The sequence below is a fragment of the Homo sapiens genome, chromosome 14 (assembly GCF_000001405.40).
Source record: "Homo sapiens chromosome 14, GRCh38.p14 Primary Assembly".
NCBI classification, from domain to species: domain Eukaryota; kingdom Metazoa; phylum Chordata; class Mammalia; order Primates; family Hominidae; genus Homo; species Homo sapiens.
Genome location: NC_000014.9, coordinates 76,296,271 through 76,314,266, shown reverse-complemented (window position 1 = coordinate 76,314,266; position 17,996 = coordinate 76,296,271). Strand labels below are relative to the sequence as shown.

Sequence of the window (17,996 nt, the reverse complement as noted above, 5' to 3'; positions counted from 1 at the left end):
CTTGCACCACAGTTGCCATTTTTGCTTTGTGGAATGACTCCCCTCTCTCCAGCTCCACACTGCCTTCCACTTTGCAAGCACAGAAGTTGTACAGAAGCCTGAAAATGCTGATGGCTTAACTGGTTTAATTTTTTTTTTCCCAACAGCCCTGAGGGGTTTTAACTCTTTCCTCCTGCAGAAACCCTGCTTTTGGAGTTGAATGTTTAAACTCTCACTGGGAGACTCATAAATATTCGGAGTCACTCTCTCCCTCTCTGTTTGATTAGGAAATGAGCCTTTAACTCAATGTAATCCCCAAGCCATTAACAAAAAAGCCCTCCACCGCTCCACTATTAGAATTTCACTCTTAACCCGCTGAGGATTGAATTAGATTAACATAACTACCCACAATCTGAGTTTATTTTCTGTGCCAGATAGAAATGTGTTTTCAAGAAAGGCGAAAAGGGGGAGGGAAAGCAGGAGGGACAGAAAGAGTGGGAGGATAATGAAATGTAAAAATAGAGATAAGAAAAAGATGGACAGATATACTGTAGAAGTGAAGTGATAGGGAAAAAGCTGCTCGTGGTCTTTGGTTTTAAAATCCTGCCAGCTGCCATTTTAATTGATGGGGTATTTGGAGAGGCCTCAACTATGTAAAATCGTTTGAATTAGGGGAGCACTTTCCAGGTATTTGTGATTCCCTCTTCCTGCACCTGAGCCTGCTGCATTCCAAAGCACCTGCTCATTGCCCCCACTGTCCCCAATTTGGGAGGAGGTCAGGACTGGATTCCTATGTGTTCGAGGGCGGTGGGGGGAACCCATAAAACAACAGTGCATGCACACAGGAAACTGCTCATTTACATTCAGAGAAATAAACAATGACAAGGATGGAATGGTTAGATTTTGCAGACATGAAGTCACAGACAGCCCCGTGACCAATTGCATTTAAGAAATCAGTTTGAAAAAAAAAATGAATTTGATGGGAGCTCAAACCACATAAAATTAATAGTTATTGAAGCAGAAACTAAGTAATCAGAGGCTGTCTCATGCAAATACACTGAAGTTTCCCTGAACTGCATCTCTATAACTAAGCCCGATGGGCCAAACCACACCCTGAACTTGAGGATGAAAGCCAGGCCCTCTATCACACGGTCAGACAAGCCCCTATCTCACCTGAAAGGATCTACACGTAGCCCAGGGAAGAGGCAGTTTTTAGCTAAATGTCCCAACAAAATATTCTTCTGTCTGACCATTAAGGCTCTGAGAACACAGGACTTGCTCAGGAATGCGGGACTCTCTCCCACTGCATTTAATCCTGACACACTGGGCCTGCACAGTGGGCCAGGCAGGCTCCAGTGTGCAGGTTGGGGAGGGGAGGTAGAATTTGTTCTTGTACTAAAAGGCATTTTTAAAAGCCACATTTTTTCTCAAAAGCCATTGAGATCTGAAAGTCCTAGAAGTTCAGCTTTGCCAATAGCAATCTTCTCTGATTTCTGAATGCAATGTCTCAATCACTTCATTCACTTGAGCTTTAATTAACAATAATCCACCAAATCCCACTTCAGCATTATGGTGAAAAAACCTTAGCAGGACATATTTACCAAAATAGAGGCCCTCATAATAGGAAGAATAATAATGCTATATGTATAAGACACTTTAACTCCTAGTTGGCGTTTGTCCCCCTCTGGAGTTCTTAGACTTCACCGTCTATACTAGATCTTAAATAGTGACATTTACCCCCTTGTACGCCATACTCCTTGTTCTGAATTTCTCCACTACTGAATGCGGTCTTACTGGCTGAACATGGGACGTTTGCCTTCTAATTTCTCATTGCTTCCTGATCCCCACTCTCCCGTCCAAAATAATGAATGAATGGATTAAAGATATTAATAACCCTAAACAAAATACAGCTGAAAACATGGAACCAGAAAAAGGAAAGTTAAAGTTTCAGAACAGTCAAAATAAAAATGATATCAAATTGCTTCTCTAAACATACGTGTGTATATCCATATTTATTTAACTTTCATCGAGTTAGATGAAACTAACTGGTTTCATGCTGGTAAAACTATTTTTGTTTGTAATCAATCAAAAATAATACAGGCATATCTGCTTTGTTTAATGCTTTTAAATTGTTGGAAAGATTGTTTCTTTGTAGGATATTGTTCTCCCAAACAAATCAAGGAGTCCTCAGTCATATAGCATATGGTATCCATTGGATAAATAGAAACTCATGGTTAAAAAAAAAAAAAGGTACATTTAAAAAGTTGTACTTAAGTATAAATTAGGCATCATTACTTTTTTTTTTTTTTTTTTCAAAATGTAGGGCTACTTTTCCTTTGTAAATTCTATAAAGCAAATCTTCCCAAGTACAGGATTTCGGGTGAATACTATTCAATATCCAGAAACTAAAGTCCCAAACGTTGCACGGGAAGCTCGTGGCAGGTAAGCCCCGTGGACACAGGACTGTGGCCGGGAAGGCCCCATCTAGAGCCGCCCGAGGTGCACTCAGAGCCGGCACACTATTCGAATTGTCTGAAACAAGCACAGCTTTGACAAGCCTCACGATATTAAGTTTCTTCCTTTGCGAAGGATGCAGAGCAAAGCAGTCAACAGCCCTCCCTCCACACCTGGCTTTGGCCTGGGACTCTTCCTCCCAGTCCCCAGCCAAGTTCCCTTTCAGGATTAAGAAAATACACCAAATGAGGGAGCCAATGACAGCCTGTAAGGCAGGACAAATCCTCAGCTCTCATCGTGACTTCTCAAAGCAAACTTGCTCCGCGGAGGGGAGAGGGAAAATCATTTACTTTAAGGTGCTATAGAAAACTGGTCATCGGGACTGTGGGGAGTCTCCCTGAACCTGGAAGCTCCCAGGTTGAAACCAAAACTTCCAGGAGCTCCCATCATTACCTGTCCTGTGGGCACTGGGTCTTCTTGGGTAACCTTCCCCAGCTTGCCCTACACCGGAGCTGCCAGCAAATAAAAGTTTTCACGCTGGGCGACATCGCTACCCTGCTGAGCTGCATGTAAACTTTCCCTTGCCCTTCTGATGTACTTACTTTTTTCTCAGTGAAAACAAACAAAAATCAAAGGGAACTCACTGCTTCCAAATGAGTTTGTGTCACCGTCCCACCTAGCCATCCAGAGACCCTCTGACCTTCCTGTGACAGTCTAAGAAAGGCAACGTTTTCCTCTCGGCCACACAGGGATGCTTTAGAGTGCGGAAAACCAGGATGAAAGAACAGGCATGGGGAGATATTTTTATCCATTGAGAGAGAGAGAGAGAGAGAGAGAGAGAGAGAGAGAGAGAGAAAGGGGACAGAAAAGGACCCGCAGAGTCTGGGGAGGAGAAAGGGAGAAGTTGGGTTACTCACATGCTTGGGGCTGGCGTGGAGGACGAGGACTGGGCTGGGGTGGAATGTGCGGCCCCTCAGGTGCTTTCAGTTGCTGATAACTCGTTGCTCCGCTCCTCCGGTACCAGCTGACAGTCCCCTGTCTGTGTCTCTTTGTGACTAAGGACACAGTACTCCCAACCTATAAATAGATCCCGACTCCGTGATTGATATAACAGGCAGCTGACAAAAAAAAAAAAAAAAAAAAAAAAGTCTCACAACCATAACCAGGTCTTAAACAAAACAGCAAAAAGCTCTAGACTTCCAACTCCACCCAGCCCCATGCAGACTCCACAGCCACTGATGGACGCAGGAAAGTGTGGAAGAAAAATACACCATGAAGGGGAGGAGGAACTGGGGGAGGGCAAGTGAAAAGGGGGGATGTGTAAGACAATGACTTCTCTAGTGGTGTGCGGCCGTCACTTGGGGTCACAGGGGAGCTGGTGACTGATGGTCGGCAGAAAGCAAGGGGAGGAGCCAGGGCAGGAGGTCCTGACCTGGAGAAGGAGAGCCGCCCCCCTCCGGATCCTGAGCCCGTGGCCCTGTCAGGGCCCGAGTCAAAGTCCTGACTTGGGAGCATTCGTCAGCTCAAGTGCTTTCCACGAAAGTTTCCATTCCTCCTGCCAAATTAGGAGGCAGGGAGGGAATTCAGCTTTCCCAGCTCAGGGGCCAGGCAGGCTTCTTGGGGGCCATGCAGAAGGCTCCTGGAGGGTGAGAGAGGAAGTGCAGTTGCCTGGTGAGGCCAGGTCTTTGAAGAGGCCAAGAGATGGCGTTCCCAACAGAAGAACGGCCTGAAGTTGAAAGGCCCTGGGGGTGTTAATGTCTCTGCTTTCTCCAGAAAGATTTAGGACGTCAAGTCGTCTGAAAAGATTTCCTTTTTGGAGAACAAGCCCCGCTCTTTGGGGTACCGGAGGGTCTCTAAGAAGCACTGCCTGTCCCAGTTTCTACAAAGTTGGGGCCGCCTCTCTGGGATAGGCCAGTCCAGCTCTGAAAGCTGAGCCAAGGGGCTGTTTCTGGAAGTTGGAAGAATCATGGTGAAACGGCACAAGTATGGGCTGTTCAACAATTAACCAGGTGAGCATGCATTACCCCAGGGGGCTTCCCATCTGCCATCTGGAGACCCACTTGCTTTGACTACACAGGGTCACCTGTCTTGATTTTCTGGATTTCTTGTGCATGCTAAATGAGGCAGAATTTCAGGTGAGTTTCCCCTTCAAGAGGGGTCATAGGATGAACCCCTTGCTGGTATGGATAAGGGACAGGTACTTCATAATCCCTAAAACTTCCTGATCCCCAATTTTTAAAAGAAATGAAGTTGAACCTCCTCTTCATGTTAGATCTAATCCTTTACTCTCCAGGTTATCAGAAACTATGAGGATGGGGTGGTATCTAAGCTGTTGAAGTCAAAAACCTATTAAACGTGTAGGGCCTCCAATCTTTCCACCAGTAGCCTGCCATTGCAATATGAGCTCCAAGAAGGTAAAGACTATGTGTTTGTCTCATTCATCATCACATCCCCATAATACCTGATCTGTAGCAAGACCCTCCTGAGTATGGATTGATTGACTGACTAATTGAATGAAAGAGTGATACTTAAGATACTGTCATTTGAGCCACTCCTTTGGACTAAGTAAGATACTCTCTAGAAATGTCTGTATCATAAGAGTGTCCCTAGGAAGGCCCAGAACTGGGAGTGAGACTTCAGGCAGATATAGTCAAACTGCTGTATTTTCACTCGCAGTTTTATCTGAGAACCACTGCCCTTCTGAGTACCAGGCCAGTGATGCCAGTGGTCAGCCACCAGGCACTCCTGTCTACTCAGGCCTGGCCACACACAGGGTTCCCTGCAAGTTTAGTTGCTGGAAAAGCAGATAACCCTGCAGAGACAGGGCTCTAGAGAGACTCCCATTCTGATGACTGGGGCTATAGCCACTTACACGCACATTCACCACCAGGCTCCTTCCCAGGGAAAAACCTTTCTCTTCTGATGCAAACTGAGGACTTCCCTCCATGATTTTCTTTCTCCTCCAACTCTTACCGAGCCCTCGCTGATCTCTGGCAGACATCCTGCAGCCCCTCCTAGGGCTTCCACAGCCCCCTAGCACAGCACCCTGTCTGTAGGAAGGGGTCAGTGTTTGGGTTGAACCCAGCCACCCCTCTCCCTAGGAAGCCCCTGTGGCACCTTTGTTTTGGCTTTTTATCTCAAGGTCGACCTCTGTATCATCTCACAGTCTGGTTCTCAACTCTGCCAACTGAACCAAGCCTTGGTGTCTGCCCCCTTGAAGCTGGCCTGGGGGCAGCAGGGGTCTGCTGGGACCAGCTGATAACCAGCGGCATTTCTCTCTGCTCACAGGGGCTCTCTCGAATGGCAGGTCATCATCTTAGGAGACCCCAGGCTTTTGCTTGCAGGAGACTCATCATGGCCTCACTTTCTCATCATAAAACCTCTCCAGCTTCAAGGGCCAGGCCTGCTAGTCCACTCGGAGCAGATGCACATCCGGACACACACCTCTGAGCCTGTCAGATGGGGCTGTTAAGCACAGGCTCTGGATCGGAACTCCCTGGGTTGGAATCTTGCCTCTTCCGCTTGTTATTGGGAAACTCTAGAAAAATTCCTTAGTATGTCTGTGCTTCAGTTTCCTCATCTGCAATGTGGGAATTCTAAGTGTCTATCTCATAGGATTGTCATGAGGACAAAATGACTCAACACAAAAGGATGCTTAGAATAATGCCTGGCCCATCCAGTGTCCTGCCTACCTGAGCCACATCACTCGATCTTGCCTTGGTTCTTCCCAAAAAACGGGAAGCGGCACTGGCAGGGCAAGTACCCCACGGCAAGGCGTGCTCTGGCCACAGAGCTGGCCAGAGGTCAGAGGTCAGGAAGAGAAGACCGCATGGGGACTTTTGGAGTTTTAGTGTGCCAGCCCAAAAGCAGGTGTAGAGAAGAACAGGAAGACCCAGAGGATTCCAAATCTGTCCCGGTTGCTGCACCTATCACAAAGGGCCAGGTTCATAATACACTCACTCCTCCCTACCCTGCTCCATTCTTTTTCCCCAGAGATGCCCTGGTGTCCCGGCACAGTTGAATATTCCACCTTTAGGCTGCCACTCAGCAGCTGGCCAGAACATGGCATTTAAAAAAAATGATCCAAATATCACTGCAACTTCAATTATTCCAGAGATGCTCTGCCCACCTGGTGTATTCTGGTGTCCCAGAACAGTTATATGTTCCACCCTGAGGCTACTACCACTCAGCAGTTGACCAGAACATGACATTTTTGAAAAAATCCAAATATCTCAGCAACCCCAGTTATTCAATGAGATTATGAGTTCTGCCTCCTCCTTCAAAGGTGATTCCAACTTTTCTAGAATTTCTTGAGTTTTCCTTCCTAATCCCTCCTTTTCAAAATTTTTTAGTGTGCAATATATACTTTTTCCTTTTTTCTTTTACAGATGGGATCTCGCTATGTTGCCCAGGCTAGTCTCAAGCTCCTGGGCTCCAGTGATCTTCCTGCCTCAGCCTCCCAAGTAGCTGGGACTACAGGCACATGCCACCATGCCAGCTGTCTTTTTCTTAATACTGTAAATTCATATGACATAAAATTCACTATTAATTTTTTTTATTGCACTGATAGGCTCTGAATTGTTCTGGAAATTTTATGGAATTAGATAGCTGGAATGCTCGCATAACATAGTAAATATACTAAAGCCCACTGGAAAAAAAATTTAATTGACACATAATAACTGTACATACATACAACATATAATAATCAAATCAGAGTATTTAGCATTTCTATAATCTTGAACATTCATTGTTTCTTCGTGGTGAGAACATTCAAGATCCTTTCTTCTAGCTATTTTGAAATATACCATCCAATATTGTTAGCTGTAACCATCTTTCTGTGCAATAGCACACCAGAACTTATTTCGCTTATTTAACTGAGACACTGTACCACTAACCAGTTGCTCCCCATCCACCCTTCCCACTCCTTTCCCCAGCCTCTGGTAACCACTATTTTACTCTCTACTTCTAAGAGGTCAGCTTTTTTAGATTCTGCATATGAGCAAATTCACCATTTTAAAGTATGCAGTTGAGTGGCGTTAAGCACACTCACAATGCTGCACACTGTGCAAACTATCACCACTGTTTAGTTCCGGAACATTTCATCACTCCCAAAGAGATCCCCGTACACATTAAGCAGGCACCTTCCATTCCCCCATTAGTCTGCTAGGGCTGCCATAGCAAAAGACCTCAGACTTGGTGGCTTAAACAAAAGGCATTTATTTCTCCTTAACATATGCATTTTGGAAACCCTAGCTTCCAGCAACCACATATCTGCTTTCTGCCTCTATGGATTTGCCTATTCTGTATATTTCATATAAACAACATCACACAATAAGCGGTCCCTTCCTAAACTCTTTACCGTGTGTCTATTCTGTAGAAACAAGGAGGCTGACCTTGCAGTACTTTTTGTTTTGCGTGGTCTGCCAGCCCCTTCGCCTACATCCAGCCCAGTTCTTAACCCCTAGGTCTGGGGGTGAGCCTCCCAGCCTAAGAAGTCAATGACCATTTGTGAACACGTGTTACGTACTAGCTGCTTCGCCCGGATTTTCTTGTCACATCCTCGGCACACCCCCACAGGGAGAATTATTACTTCTCGTATTAGTCTGCAAGGGCTGCAGAATAAAGTCGCCAAAACTGGGGGGCCTAAAACAACAGAAATGTATTGGCTCGTAGTTCTGGAGGCTGGAAGTCTGGGATTAAGGTGTCAGCAGGGTTGGTTCCTTCTGAGGGCTGTGAGGGAGAATCTGTTCCAGGTCTCGCTCTTAGCTTCTGGTGGTTGGCTGGCAGTCTTTGGGGTTCCTTGGCTTGTAGATGCACCATCATCCCAATTTCTGCCTTCAGCTTCACAGTACCTTAGCCCTGTGTGTGTTTCTGCCTCTGTGTCCAAATTTCCCCTTTTTATAAGGACACCAGTCATTGGAGGAGGGCCCACCCTAGTGACTTCATCTTAACTTGATCATCTGCAAAGACCTTATTTCCAAAGGTCACCTTCACAGGAACTGGGAGCCAGGACTTAAACATCATTGTGGGAGACACAGCTCAACCTAGAAGATCCCCTTGTACAGAGGAAGCAACTGAAAGTTCAGGAGGTCTGGCCCCTGGAATGAGACAGAGCTGTGTGTCACCACACAGAAAAGACACAGGCAGAGGGAGGTGGGCCCTTGACGGCTCCTCTCCGGCCGCAGGGATGTGTGCACCTCCACTGGCTCAGTGCCACCGGGCTCCATTTGGCTCACTCCAGCATCATTAGTCCCGGCACATCAAGGTGACTTTACATTGTTTACAAGGGCCACTGAAAGTGCAGTCATCCCCCTCCCACACTGTCTTATCAATTCATTTACTTTTCCGAATTCCCTAACATAGACCGCCAGCCAGGAGGGGTGGGCAAGGACCTGCAGTCCAGGAAGGGCCTGCCTCCACTTTATCTGGAAAGAAAAATCTATCTGCTTGGGGAGAGACCTAAATACAACACACCGGTGTGGCTAGGCCATTAATCATCTCTCGCCAGGACACAGGAGACCAGGAAGCAGCATTGTGGGCACGCTGGCTTTAAACTCAAGGACGAGGAAGCTCTGGGGACACTGCTGGGCGCACCATTTCCAGAGGGCATTCTACAGGTGTGTCAGGTGGAGATCACACAGTTTGATGCTGGTGACATCTTGCATGGGAAGAGGAGGCAGAAAGGGCAGATTGATGTCCCCAAAGGGTTCCCCAAAAGCAGGTGCTCACGCTGAAGTAAATACCCACTACCTGGTGGAAGCAGAATGCCTTTTGACCAGGAACCCATTTGCTGGGGAACTCTCCATGCCCAGCAGTTTGGCACATGCCTACAATCCCCTAGGGGATGGTGTATTCTTCTTAGAGGAAGGGGAGCTGCCAGAACAGGGACTCATGGAATAACAGGAGACCTAAGTCGACAAATCAAAGGCCCCCAGGCCCAGACTCCCTCTCCCCATTTCCACCACTTCCTTACTCCAGGAGACCCGCCCTGCTGCCCAGCCAGACTGCATGGCATCCCATAAACACGCTGTCCCAGCTAGGTGTGTTCCTGGCTCCACTGCCTCCCTTCTGTCTTATTTAATTTCTATTCATTCTTCAGGGCCCAGCTTAAGTGTGACATCTCACCTGTCCACTCCCTGTCCACAGCAGCCGTCACCTCAAATCTCCTCCCACCACCACCAACACGTCTCATCTGAGTGTATGTCACATCTCACATCACCTTGAGTAGTGTGCTGTCTTCTCACCTGTGTTTGTCTCAAGCTACAAAAAGGCAGTAATAATGGAACAACTGCTGTCATTCATTGAGCACTGTTGTGTGCTAAGTTCTGTGGAAAGCACCTGATCTACATCGCCTTATTTAAACCTTACAACTACCCTGATGGTCAGTAATTATTTTCTCCAGTTCATCAGCTGGGAAACTGGTAAGCCAAGTGGGCGAGTGACTTGCCCACTTCGGACAGTGGGTAGATGGTAGAGTTAGGACCAACCTCTGCCTGGCATGAAAGCCCGTGCTCATAGCCTTTCTGCTATGGCCCCCCACCCAAGTGGGGGGTACACAGTGACACTTCCTCATGGTGTTAGTGAACTAAAGCAATAGGATTTCCACCAAGAACGTAGCTGGAAGGGAATGCACAAAGAGAGATGGGTTTGCACTGGCTGGATGCACCCCGTGGGACATTTCCAGGGCTCAGCGCATATCTGTCATGGTTTGAGTCTTTTCCTCTGGCTGAGTAAGAGAAAGATCTTAGAACCTAATGACTGCTGGGAGATTTCCCAGTTATCAGATAGACCCCATGGGGAATAGTTAGATCTCCCTAGTCTTTCCTTCTGGATGGGATTTAAAGCAGGCAAAGAGAGGTGAGGGGCAGGAGAAGGACAAGGGAGGAAAGTTTAGGAAGTCTCAGAGCTGGGTGTGGACAAAGCTCGTGCTGGCCATGGATTCCAGCAGCTCTTCCCAGGCCTATGTCTTGTTCCTTATAAACTGGGGATAGGGAGACTGATGTCAAATCTGCTCTGTAAAATGGGAGGTTGAAAATACCTGTACAATCCTCATCAGCAAAAAACACGCTATTATTCTGCAGTTTTTCAGAGCTATCACTAGTATACTTTGGTCAAAAGCAGCCAGAATCTCACTGTGGCCAACTTAAGCAGAAATAGAATTTATTGAAATGATATAAGTCATTCATATTTTAAAAAGTCCCCTAAAGTCTGTCTGGGTGCGGTGGCTCAAGCCTGTAATCCCAGCACTTTGGGAAGCTGAAGTGGGTACTTAAGGTCAAGAGTTCAAGACTAGCCTGGCCAACACGGTGAAACCCTGTCTCTACTAAAAATATGAAATTAGCCAGGTGTGGTAGTGGGCGCCCGTAATCCTAGCTACCTGGGAGACTGAGGCAGGAGAATCACTTGAACCTGGGAAGCGGTGGTTGCAGTGAGCTGAGATTGCGCAACTGCACTCCAGCCTGGGTGACAGAGCAAGGCTTCATCTCAAAAACGAACAAACAAACAACAACAACAATAACAAAAGGAAAGACTGAGGAAACGAGGGTGGCTCCAGGGGTCTGAGAACAGAATGTGGTGGGTGGCTTCTTTAGGACACAGTCACTGGAATGAATGAGCTCCAAGCAACTGCCAACCCTGCTTCCTTCTGCTCAAAGGCCAAAAGCCCCAGGAAAGACAATGACCAGCTCAGCCTGGGTCATGTGATCACCTTGGGTGGTGAGGAGTTCGGAGAGGTTGACAGCTCACCAGGACTACGCACAATGGGAGAAAAGTAATTCCCCAGAAAGAGACTAGGGTCCTGTCACCTCTCCAAAAGGAAATGGATACTGGTACTCAAACTTTAAAAGTAGAAATTTTGCTGGGCCCAGTGGTTCATACCTGTAATCCCAGCACTTTGGGAGGCCGAGGCAGGTGGATCACAAGGTCAGGAGATCGAGACCATCCTGGCTAACATGGTGAAACCCTGTCTCTACTAGAAATACAAAAATTAACCGGGTGCGGAGGTGGGCGCCTGTAGTCCCAGCTACTCGGGAGGCTGAGGCAGGAGAATGGAGTGAACCCAGGAGGTAGAGCTTGCAGTGAGCCGAGATCCCGCCACTGCACTCCAGGATGGAGGACAGAGCAAGACTCCGTTTCTAAAAATAAATAAATAAATAAATAAATAAAAGTAGAAATTGTTCAGGACTCTCAGGAATATGAATTTACCAAATTGAAAAAAATCTCTGGGGATTTTGAGCCTTTTAAGGGATAGAGAGATTGATGGCAGCCCTCTACCATATCTCAGATAAGTTTCTGTTCTTCCTCCTGCCCCAAGATACCGGCTCCATCCAGCCCTGCAGCTAGCCCCTCTCCAGGACTCCATCCTATCAGTTCTCCCCTCCCACTCTCCCATCATTGATTCTCTCCAATGACTCCTTCCACAAAACTTATTGAAATGCTTTAAAGTCCACTCTATTCAAAATCAAAACAAAACAAAACTGCACTGTGTTGGACCCTGCCTTCCCCTCAGTCTATTTCCCTTCATTGTGCAATGTCACCCCCCTGGACCATGGATCTTTTAGATTCTTATTTAAGTCTCCCTTCTACATGTGGCCACGTTCATAACCAGGTAACTGCATTAAATGCAGGGTGCTCAAAACCAGATTTATCATCTTCTTCTATAAACACACTCTTCTGCCTGTGTTCCCTCTTAACTAACAGTACCATCATCCATCTCATTCCCCAAACTGGAAGCCTCCAAGTCATCCTTAACTCCTCTGTCTCCCTCCACATCTAATTAGCCACCAAGTCTAATCACCAGGATATGGTCAAATTTGAACTCATTCCTTCCCTCCTAGCAGGTGTGAGGTGATATTGTGGTTCTGATTTGCATTTCCCTGATTATTAGTGTTGTTTAGCCTCTTTTCACGTATTGTTGGCTATCTGTATATCTTCTTTAGAGAAGTGTCTACTCAAGTCCTTTGCCCATTTTAAAATCAAGTTATTGGCGGGCAAGGTGGCTCATGCCTGTAATTCCAGCACTTTGTGAGGCGGAGGTGGGGAATCACCTAAGGTCAGGAGTTTGAGACCAGCCTGGCCAGCATGGTAAAACCCCGTTCCTAATAATAATACCAAAAAATTAGCTGGGCGTGGTGGCTCATGCTTGTAATCCCACCTACTTGGAAGGCTGAGGCAGGAGAATCTCTTGAACCCAGGAGGCAGAGTTTGCAGTGATCCATTGCACTCCAGCATGAGAGACAAGAATGAAACTCTGTCTCAAAAATCAATCAATCAATCAATCAAACAAGTTATTTGTTCTTGTTTCAGCTGTTGAGTTGTAGGAGTTTCTTGGGTATTCTGGATAGTAATCCCTTATCGGATATATGGTCTGCAAATAGTTTCTCCCACTCTACAGGTTGCCTTTTCACTCTGTTGATTGTTTACTTCGCTGCATGGATTTTTAGTTTGATATGATCCTACGTGTCTAATTTTGCTTTTGTTGCCTGTGCTTTTGGTGTCAAATCCAAGAAATCATTGCCAATTTTTTCTCCTATGTTTTCTTTTGGAGATTTACAGTTCCAGATCTTGCATTTAAATCTTTAATCGATGTTGAGTTGATTTTTGAGTATAGTGTAAGATAAGCATTCAATTTCATTCTTTTTCATATGCAAATCCAGTTTTCTCAACACCAGTTGTTGAAAGGATTGTCTTGTCCACATGTATTTTTGGACCCTTGTTAAGGATGAGTTGACCATACATACATGCATTTATTTCTGGGCTATCTATTCTATGCTATACCATGGTTTATATGTCTGTTTTTATGCCAGTACCACACCATACTGTTTTAATTTCTATAGATTTGTAGTATATTTTGAAATCAGGAAGTGTGATGCCTCCAGTTTTGTTCTTCTTGCTCAAGGTTGCTTTAGTTATTTGGGGTCTTTTGTGGTACCATATGAATTTTAGATTGTTTCTTCTATTTCTGTAAAAAATGCCATTGAGATTTTTGATAGGGATTGCATCAATACTGTAGATAGCTATGGATATATGGATATTTTTAACAATATTAAGTCTTCCAATCCATGACTACAGGATGGATTTCCATGTATTCGTGTCTTCCTTAATTTGTTTCATCAATGATTTGTACTTTTATTTTGAGACTGAGTCTCTTTCACCCAGGCTGGAGTGCAGTGGCATGATCTCAGTTCACTGCAACCTCTGCCTCCCTGTCTCAGTGATTCTCCTGCCTCAGCCTCCTGAGTAGCTGGGATTACAGGCTTGCACCACCACACCTGGCTAATTTTTGTATTTTTAGTAGAGATGGGGTTTCACCATGTTGGTCAGGCTGGTCTTGAAGTCCTGGCCTCAAATGATCTGCCCACCTTGGCCTCCCGAAGTGCTGGAATTACAGGCGTGAACCACCGCATCAGGCCAATGATTTGTAGTTTGTTTTTTTTTTTTTTTGAGATGGAGTCTCGCTCTGTCGCCCAGGCTGGAGTGCAGTGGCGCGATCTCCGCTCACTGCAAGCTCTGCCTCCTGGGTTCACGCCATTCTCCTGCCTCAGCCTCCCAAGTAGCTGGGACTACAGGTGCCCGCCACCACGCCTGGCTAATTTTTTGTATTTTTAGTAGACACGGGGTTTCACCACGTTAGCCAGGGTGGTCTCGATCTCCTGAACTTGTGATCCGCCCGCTTCAGCCTCCCAAAGATGATTTGTACTTTTTAGTGCACGGGTCTTTCACCTCCTTGGCTAAGTTTATCCCTAAGTATTTTATTCTTTTTGAAGCTATTGTAAATGTGATTGCTTTCTTAATTTCCTTTTCAGATAGTTTGTTGTTAGGATATAGAATCGCAACTAATTAAGCCAGGTGTGGCGGCTCCAGTCTATAATTCTAGCATTTTGGGAGGCTAAGGAAGGCAGATAGCCTGAGTCCCAGAGTTTGAGACCAGCTTGGGCAACATAGCCAAGCCCTGTCTCTACAAAAACTACAAAAAATTAGACAGATGTAGTGGCATACGCCTGTGGTCCCAAGCTACTTGGGAGGCTGAAGTAGGAGAATTGCTTGAGCCTGGGAGGCAGAGATTGCTGTCAGCCAAGATTGCACCACTGCACTCCAGTCTGGATGACAGAGTAAGACCCTGTCAAAAAAAAAAAAGAAGAAGAAGAAGAAGAAGAAGAAGAAAGAGAGGAAGGAAGGAAGGAGAGAGAGAGAGAGAGAGAGAGAGAGAGAGAGAGGAGAGAGAGAGAGAGAGAAAGAAAGAAAGAAAGAAAGAAAGAAAGAAAGAAAGAAAGAAAGAAAGAAAGAAGGAAAGAAAGAAGGAAGGAAGGAAGGAAAGAAGGAAAGAAAGAAAGAAAGAAAGAAAGAAAGAAAGAAAGAAAGAAAAAAAAAAGAAAGAAAGGCAACTGATTTTTGTATGTTAATCTTGTATCTTGAAACTTTATTAATTCTAACAGATTTGGGAGGATTTTTCTGTATATATTATGTCATCTGCAGAGATAACTTTGCTTCTTCCTTTCTGATTTCTATGCTTTTTGTCTCTTTTACTTGCCTAACTGCTCTGGCTAGGACTTCCAGTACTATGTTGAGCCAAGTGGTGAGAGTGGGCATCCTTGTCTTGTTAATTTTCTTGTTTAAAAATATCCAATGGTTCTTCATTTTCCATGGGATAAAATCCAAGTCCTTTGCTTTTCATAATTCAGATCTAACTCATATTCCTGGTCACATCTCTCGCCGCCCCCGGCACATGGTACTGTCTCCCTTGCACCACTGTGTTCTCTTTCATCCCTCTGCCTGAAATACACCATCGGCCTTCAAAACCCAGCTCCAGTGTCACCTCCTCTAGGAGCCTTTCCCTACTTCAGCCACTCCTCCCTCTGAACTCCTACAGGATTGTGGGACACACTCTCCTAGAACACATATCACACAGTACTGTAAAGATTTGTTCACACGTCAGTCTCCATCCCTGGGATGTAGCTCCTGGAGAATGAGGACTTGCTTTTTTCTTGTTTTTACCATCCTCTACCAACCAGTGCCTATCCCAGTTCCTGGCATTCACTAGGTGATCTATAAATGTTTGTTGAATGAATGAATGACAACGAATTAGGAAACATAGAGTAAATGGGTGAAGAGCAGGGTAAGAGATCAACATAGGATGAGTGAGAAATGGTCTGCAGGGTGTCAGATGAGAACGTTGTGCACTGCACAACTCCAGGAAGCACCATTCATATGGCAGTGCGTATGAATTTCCTAGAATTGGGCAGATCACAATGTGGGCAGGTACGTGCAGCAGCCCCATAGAAAGAACTGACTTAGGAAGGGATAGACCCTCTTCCAGGAGAAAAAGAACCAGCCACCAGTTAATATTTGAGTTGGAAGAGGCTTTTGGAGAAGAGAACGTAGATGGAAATGATAAAAGAGGCATTTGAGCAAGTGCAGCAGACATCATGGGTTGCGTTGTAGTCTTCCGGTTTTCCTGGCTGGCTGGGCCAATTACTGTAGACATTAAAAATACCAGGGGTTTCCCCAGCTTCCCTTATAGTTAGAGGTTTCCATGTGTCCCAGTCAAACAATGAGACTTAAGGGGGAGTTTGCTGGGGTGGAAGGGGAAGGCATTTGGGCAATATTTTCCTCCATGATAGAAAGAGAGACAGGGCAGGGGAAAGAGCCTCAGAAGCCATAGTGCAACCATAAAAAAGAAACTTGCAGAGGAAAAGCCAACATGCCGAGGACAGCAGAGCACAAGGATGGAAAATATGTGGGACCATGGCTCTCTGGTGACCCGCTGGGCCAAGAAACCAACCCTGGAATCACCTACTTCTTGTTATAGAAGACGATGCATGTTTCTATTTCTTAAATCACTATTTCCTTTTCATAGTCTCTCTGTTACTTGCATCCCAAAGCATTCTAACTGATAAACTAGGTGTGGTGCTACATATGGCAAATGGTGCTACATATGGCCCAGAGCCAATTAATATGAACTGCATGTAAACCAGTAGAAAAGCCCTGAGACCCCACAGGTTATGAATCTTAAAATGCAGCCGGGAGAGGTGGCTCACATCTGTAATCTCAGCACTTTGGGAGGTGAGGTGGGCAGATCACCTGAGTCCAGGAATTTGAGAGCAGCCTGGCCAACATGGTGAAACTCCATCTCTACTAAAAATACAAAAATCAGCAGGCCGTGGTGGCACATGACTGTAATCCCAGCTGCTTGGGAGGCTGAGGCAGGAGAATCAGTTGAACCTGGGAGGCAGAGGTTGCAGTGAGCCGAGATTGTGCCACTGCACTCCAGCTTGGGTGACAGAGACTCCATCTCAAAAAAAAAAAAAAAAAAAAAGAATCCCTAAAATGCAAACATTGGTAGAATAATGTCAATGGTGTGAATTCCATTTCACACTTTCAGTTATTCCATTTCTCTCTCTGTAATAAGTTGGCACCATTTTCCCTTTTATTTATTTTTTGAGATGGAGTCTTGCTCTGTCCCCCAGGCTCTGCAGTGACAGAATCTCGGCTGTCTGCAACCTCCACCTCCCAGGTTCAAGCGATTCTTGTGCCTCAGCCTCCTGAGTAGCTGGGATTACAGGCACGTGCCACCACATCCAGCTAATTTTTATATTTTTAGTAGATATGAGGTTTTACCATGTTGGCCAGGCTGGTCTTGAATTCCTGAACTCAAGGAATCCACCCACCTTGGCCTCCCAAAGTGCTGGGATTACAGCCATGAGCCATTGCCCCTGGCCACCGTCTTCCTTAAACCCCAAGCCCCACTTCCAAAAAATTATTGTCAGTCTTTGGGCTAGAAGAAAACCTGCCCATTTTGCAGCACTTTACACAATGATTCCCCATTGTTTCAGTCACAGTAGCCCCTGGGCATATGGGACAAGGTGAGGAAACACCCAGGGGACAAGTGTCAGCAATGAAGATGTCCTTTGTCTGTGAATCAGTTGGGCTGCAGGAGAGAGTTTCTTGGGGAGCTTCTTTTGCACCTGAGCACGTGTTATGTGCCAGGCACTGTTCTAAGCACTTTACATGTTCACTCATCTGATCCTCACAGCAGCCCCTGAAGTGGAGATACCATTATCATCCCATCTTACTGATTAAGAAACTGAGGCAGTGGGAGGTCCTGTAGCATTTCCACCTTGAAAGAGGCAGAGCTGGCATAGAAACCAAGTCAGTCCAGCTCCAGACCTACGTTTTCCCCCACAATCTGTTCAGTGATGGTGGCAACTGCCTTCTGGTTTTATGGTGATTAATCCGTGCCTCTCCAGGGAGAACCCTAGAGCTTTGGAAGGAGCAGACAGCCCTCTGTCTTGGTTTGCTTTGCTTGCATGTAAGGACTCTGCCGCCCTTCTGTTGGTTAACTCAAGGATGCAAATTTTCTAACTGGGCTTCCCTTCCAGCACTGACACACGGGAATGGGGGTAAGGAGTCACCATCTACCGCCTCGAGGACTACATGAGGCTGACTTAATACATAACTTGGAACTCCATAATCTAACCTCGTACATTGCTTGGTATTTGCCTTCGGTAGATTCAGAGGTAATTAAATTACCGTACAAGCAACTTTCAAGTCTGAGGAAAAGACTT

At 45.9% G+C, this 17,996-nt stretch overlaps 1 protein-coding gene and 1 long non-coding RNA gene across 3 annotated transcripts in view, besides 2 other annotated features; one reads left to right on the top strand and one right to left on the bottom strand.

The window, feature by feature from the left end:
• The window catches only part of ESRRB (estrogen related receptor beta), a 191,061-nt gene extending 187,571 nt beyond the window's left edge, over window positions 1-3,490 (bottom strand). For both annotated transcript variants that reach the window (XM_047431079.1, NM_001411038.1), the window contains exon 1: window positions 3,351-3,490. Coding sequence is in view for 1 of the 2 variants with exons in the window: in NM_001411038.1 (NP_001397967.1) it covers window positions 3,351-3,352 (2 nt within the window). In the remaining variant the exon portion in view is untranslated. The remainder of the gene's footprint in view (window positions 1-3,350) is intronic.
• Window positions 3,832-4,445: an enhancer, noted in NCBI's record as "H3K4me1 hESC enhancer chr14:76776165-76776778 (GRCh37/hg19 assembly coordinates)". NCBI's record gives its function as "activates a minimal SCP1, AML or CMV promoter by ChIP-STARR-seq in naive H9 embryonic stem cells {active_cell/tissue: H9 hESC(naive)}" and the evidence as "EXISTENCE:reporter gene assay evidence [ECO:0000049][PMID:30033119]".
• LOC105370575 (uncharacterized) overlaps window positions 3,848-17,996 on the top strand; it is an 83,107-nt gene continuing 68,958 nt past the window's right edge. The window contains exon 1 of the long non-coding RNA XR_001750833.3: window positions 3,848-4,442. This is a non-coding gene — a long non-coding RNA (uncharacterized LOC105370575). The remainder of the gene's footprint in view (window positions 4,443-17,996) is intronic.
• Window positions 9,540-9,693: a silencer, noted in NCBI's record as "fragment chr14:76770917-76771070 (GRCh37/hg19 assembly coordinates)". NCBI's record gives its function as "represses an EF-1alpha promoter that drives an FKBP-Casp9 reporter gene in an ReSE screen in phorbol 12-myristate 13-acetate-treated (for megakaryocytic differentiation) K562 erythroleukemia cells {active_cell/tissue: K562(+PMA)}" and the evidence as "EXISTENCE:reporter gene assay evidence [ECO:0000049][PMID:32094911]".